This window comes from Homo sapiens, chromosome 18 (genome assembly GCF_000001405.40).
Source record: "Homo sapiens chromosome 18, GRCh38.p14 Primary Assembly".
In the NCBI taxonomy this organism is placed as follows: Eukaryota; Metazoa; Chordata; class Mammalia; order Primates; family Hominidae; genus Homo; species Homo sapiens.
The window spans coordinates 59778193-59783522 of record NC_000018.10 but is presented as its reverse complement, the minus strand read 5'-3'; the positions used below and the strand labels follow the sequence as shown (position 1 = coordinate 59783522).

Genomic DNA, 5330 nt, shown 5'->3' with positions numbered 1-5330 from the left:
CTCCCTTCTTCATTCAGATACATTTCACCACACACTGCATGATCAACTCAGATTCCCATCCCCAGCATTCTTTCAATGTTCAGAGCCCTCCCTTCCTGCCAGACTTCTGACAGCCTGCCTCTTCCTGTCCCTCCCCTAAGAGTGGACGTGTGCGTAACACGGACTAATACTTGCTCTTTGGAACTAGCCTGGTGTCCCTTCAGTGCCATGTCAGGGATGGAGTTTGTAGGTAAAGCACTATTAATTTACAAGACAGTGACATCTAGTGGACCAGCTGGGACCAGCTTTGAGCTAAAGGCTCTTGATACCCCTAACGATCCAAAGACAAAATAAAAAAAACAAAAAAACAACAAAAAGCACCACCTTGATTTCTGGATAGAGTCTAAGGTGAGATCTGGAGAATCTAGTGAGGTTCCTGTGGAGATGTGACGTGGCCATTGATGGGTTAAAGATATCTGAAGATTCAGGTTTCTGTTATGTGTGTGTGATGGTGAGGGGAGTAGAGGGCAGGCCTAATAGGAGAAAAATAAGACACACTGGTGTGTGAGACCACTAAGGCTAGTATAAATTCATTTTTCAAGAGATCAATTTCTCATTCAAAAGGTTATGAACATGAAATTAGTTGTATGCTCTCGCCAAGTGATGGTGATGATTCAAAATTGAAGAATTCATTAAGTGTACTCAGCTAGGGAAAAATTAGTAAAATTTCCTATTTATTTATACTTTGCAATATAAATACAGGCTGGGCATAGTGCCTCATGCCCATAGTCCCAGCTACTCAAGAGGCTGAGATGGGAGGATCGCTTGAGCCCAGGAAGTTGAGGCTGCAGTGAGCCATGATCACACCACTGTGCTCCAGCCTGGGTGACAGAGTGAGACCCTTTCTTTACATAAAAAAATTAAATATAAATATAAATACAGTTGACCCTTGAACAGAGTGGGGTGTTAGGGATGCCAACCCCCCATGCAGTCAAAAATTCAGGTATAGATTTTGGTTCACCAAAAACTTAACTAGTAATAGCCTACTTTTGACGGGAAGCCTTACTGATAATATAACGGTCAATTAACACATATTTTTATGTGTATTATATACTAGATTATTACAATAAAGTAAGCTAGAGAAAAAATGTTAAGAAAATTGAGGAGCAAGAAGAGGAGGCGTTGGTCTCAGGGGTGGCAGAGGTGGGGGAAAAATCTGTGTGTAAGTGGATCCTTGCAGCTCAAACCTGTTATTATTCAAGGGTCAATGGTAAACCAAATGCTTGAATATTGAGACATTACCTAAAAAGCGAGCTTTATTTTTTTTTATTTTTTGAGATGGAGTCTCACCCTCTCACCCAGGCTGGAGTGCAGTGGCACGATCTTGGCTCACTGCAACCTTCGCCGCCCCAGTTCAAGCAACTCTCCTGTCTCAGCCTCCCAAGTAGCTGGGATTACAGGCGACCACCACAACACCTGGCTAATTTTTGTATTTTTAGTAGAGATGGGGTTTCACCATATGGGCCAGGCTAGTTTTGAACTCCTGACCTCAAGTGATCCACCTGCCTTGGCCTCCCAAAGTATTGGGATTACAGATGTGAACCACTGCACCCAGCCAAAAAAGCAAGCTTTAAAATGCAATATAAAGAAATATTTTAATTACAATTACAAATTCAATCAATTTGCATTTCAATGAGTAATGTGCAAGAGTGCAGTTTTCTCATATACCAACAAACTATATTATCAGTCTTTTTTTTTTTTTTTTTTTTTTTTTTGAGGCAGAGTTTCACTCTTGTCGCCCAGGCTGGAGTGCAATGGTGCGATCTCAGCTCACTGCAACCTTCGCCTCCTGGGTTCAAGTGATTCTCCTGCCTCAGCCTCCTGAGTAGCTGGGATTACAGGTGTGCATTACCGTGCCTGGCTAATTTTGTATTTTTAGTAGAGAAGGGGTTCCACCATGTTGTCCAGGCTAGTCTTAAACTCCTGACCTCAAGAGATCCACCCTTCTCAGCATCCCAAAGTGCTGGGATTACAGGTGTGAGCCACCACACCCTGCCGGTCTTTTTGTTACTGATAATTTGATGGATAAAACAAGGCAAAACATAATTTATTTTATTTTTATTTTGCATTCTCTTATTATGGGTGATATTGAGTAATTTTTCATCTGATTTGTTCTCTGTGAATTGTCTCCTTATACTTTACCCAATTTTCTATGATGTTGTTTTTTTCTAATTGGTTGGTAGGAGCTCTTTATATATTAGGTTAGTTTACATTTTGTCTGAGATAAGAGTTACAAATATTGTTTTCCAGTGTATCGTTTGTCTTTCAACTTTGCTGCTTATGATGGTTTTTGCCATGCAAAATGTTCTTTTAATGTTCTTTTTTTTTTTGAGATGGAGTCTCACTCTGTCGCCAGGCTGAAGTGCAGTGGTGAGATCTCGGCTCACTGCATCCTCTGCCTCCCCGTTCAAGCCATTCTCCTGCCTCAGTCTCCCAAGTAGCAGGGACTACAGGCGTGAACCACTACGCCCAGATAATTTTTTTTGTATTTTTCGTAGAGACAGGGTTTCAGCATGTTGGCCAGGATGTTCTTGATCTCTTGACCTCATGATCCACCAGCCTCAGCCTCCCAAAGTGCTGGGATTACAGGCGTGAGCCACCGCACCTGGCCACAAAATGTTGTTATAGTTTAGGTTTTCCTGTTATGCTTAGAAAGGACTTTCCTTTTCTGAGGTTGTAAAACAAAACTATTGTGTAGTTTATTGGAGTACTTTCTTGGATAAGCTTTTCAACTTAAATATTTGATCAGTCTGGAATTTGTAGTGTTGTCACTTTATTTCTCATGTGCTGAATTGTTCTGACATCATTCATTCAATAATGTACCTTTTCCCCATTTAAAATGCCGCTTTTACTAAACTCTAAATTCTTTTGTCTTTTGGGTGGCAGTATAGGTTTGTTTTCCATCCCTGTTGATTTACAGAGATGAGAAGATTTTTTTTGTAAGGTAGACTTTTAATAACTGCTTTTATTACCAGGTTAAGTCATGCAGTTACAAAGTAGTTAGAATTCTGAAAGGGCATTACAGGTTTTTTTTAAGCTCATTTTTGCATATATTATTATTTAGCATTTGACTGGGACACTACTGTTCAAAAGGACCTGGCCAAATAATTCCCAAACAAAACATTCAACCCAAGGTTGTTTTCAACCCACTGTTTGTGCACCTGGGTGCAGAATGCAAAGCCTCTAAAAGAAGAGGACACAAAGTCAGGCTGAGTAGAGGCCATTAGCAAGGGATGTTCAGGGCCAGCCAATCTCCAAACAGGGAACCCACTTTTTTTTTTTTTTTCTGGAACATTCTATTTGAATTATTGTTCAATTAGTCAACCATAGACCTTCAAAAGAGAACAATTTGTTAACATGATAAGGAGGTTACTGCATTCTTTGGACTATGTGTCATAATTATAGTCAGCAAACTCCGACCGTCTTCACAGAAATAGCCCTCCAGCATTTTTGTAGGTATGAAGATAATTTAATTCTCCATAGGGCTTCTTATTTTTGCTGGATAACAATACATGGCTGATAAGCTCTAAATGGTACTGTTTTATGATATAAAAATACTAGCTTTTTAAATTTATTATGTTTGTAGGCATTCACTGCTTGAATCAAGGTTAGGCTTGTTAAGAGATTAAAAGCAATTTTATTACAGCAGCATTACTTATTTTTTTCCAGAAGAATAAAATTAATAAGCAGAAACAGCTTTTATTTTTGTTTGCATCCTGTAAAATTGAGTTATTTTGCTTCAATAACTCATGTGAGGACCATGCCACCTTCTTTTTTTTTTTTGAGACGGAGTCTTGCTCTGTCGCCCAGGCTGGAGTGCAGTGGCGCGATCTCGGCTCACTGCAAGCTCCGCCTCCCAGGTTCTGGGAATTCTCCTGCCTCAGCCTCCCCGAGTAGCTGGGACTACAGGCACCCGCCACACGCCCGGCTAATTTTTTGTTTTTTAAGTACAGATGGGGTTTCACCTTGTTAGCCAGGATGGTCTCAATCTCCTGACCTTATGATCCGCCCGCCTCGGCCTCCCAAAGTGCTGGGATTACAGGCGTGAGTCACTGCGCCCGGCCCCCATGTCACCTTCTGAATATGTGAAAAGTTACAGCACTTCCCAGTCTCGTCCAGAGCAAAGAAGTAAGCATCTGATTGCTCTTGACTGTGCCTTCCCTGGCAACAGTTGCTGACTGTGTTGGGAAGAGCCACAGAGCAAGGCTGCACAGCCAGATGGAAGAGACTTTTCATTTAGAGGCAACACACCTACATGTCTCTCTCTCTGGTGTCAGTGATTTCTACTTTCACCGTCATCAGAGTGTACATGATCCCCTAACCTTAATTACTTTCTTCTTAGGGAGCTGATTTGGATCGATTTGTTAAGAATAGTGTCCATTATCTAATGAGTCAAGAGAGAAGGGGATTTCTGTGGTAACATGTAAACCTGTGGTAGGTCTGCAGAAGTTACAGGTGAAGAGGGTAGCAAGGAAGTCACCCATGAGCCATCTACGTGAAGGTCACTCTGGCTTCATTGTATACTTTGAACACTTTCTCAATGGCGTTGACATAGACGGTGGTCCTCATGTCCAATCCCAGGTTATACCTCATGGCTATGCACAAAATTTGCCTGGCAGAACTCTCCATTGCGTACACCAAGTCAGCATGCATGGTGTCTTTCTCTGATGCACCTGATATCCTGTCTTGGAACTCTGCTGTGGGTATAATGAGAATAGTTCCACTGTGCTTTCCAAATTTTCTTGCTAAATTCTCTTGAACAGATATTAGCAAGTGGTAGTTACACTCCCTTTCATATTTGAAGGTCAAACAGCCATAGCTGACATGATTTAGATTCTTCAGCCACTCAAAGTTGGATGCTGTCTCTCCTTTGGCATTCATGTAGAGATCTGGAATAACCATAATGCTCCTGACTTCATTTCCTCCCTGTCACACACACTCCTAGTTCTCCCATCTTAAAAACTCCGTCTCTGGACCTCACTTTGCCTCCTGCCTCTGCCAACTTCTCTCATTTTTTTTTCCATTAAGAAACCTTCTTGAAACAGTTGTTCATACGCACTGTTTTCACTTTTCCTCCTTCCATTCTTTCCTGAACCCACACACACTGGGCTTTGCACTCAATACGCCACCAAAACTGTCCTAGCCAAGGACACCAGTGACTCAAGGTATGATTTGCCCAGGACTGTCCTGGTTTGCACCTATTGTCCTGGCATAATTATGGTGTCTGCTTTTCCTCTCAAAGGGGATGTAGATACCTCGTACATACATGTATATATCATATCTATCTATCT

At 41.5% G+C, this 5330-nt stretch overlaps 1 pseudogene, besides 1 other annotated feature; it reads right to left on the bottom strand.

The window, feature by feature from the left end:
* Nucleotides 312-371: an enhancer, noted in NCBI's record as "active region_13416". NCBI's record gives its function as "activates an Ori minimal core promoter by ATAC-STARR-seq in GM12878 lymphoblastoid cells {active_cell/tissue: GM12878}" and the evidence as "EXISTENCE:reporter gene assay evidence [ECO:0000049][PMID:35858748]".
* On the bottom strand, nt 2956-4950 carry GLUD1P4 (glutamate dehydrogenase 1 pseudogene 4; annotated as a pseudogene).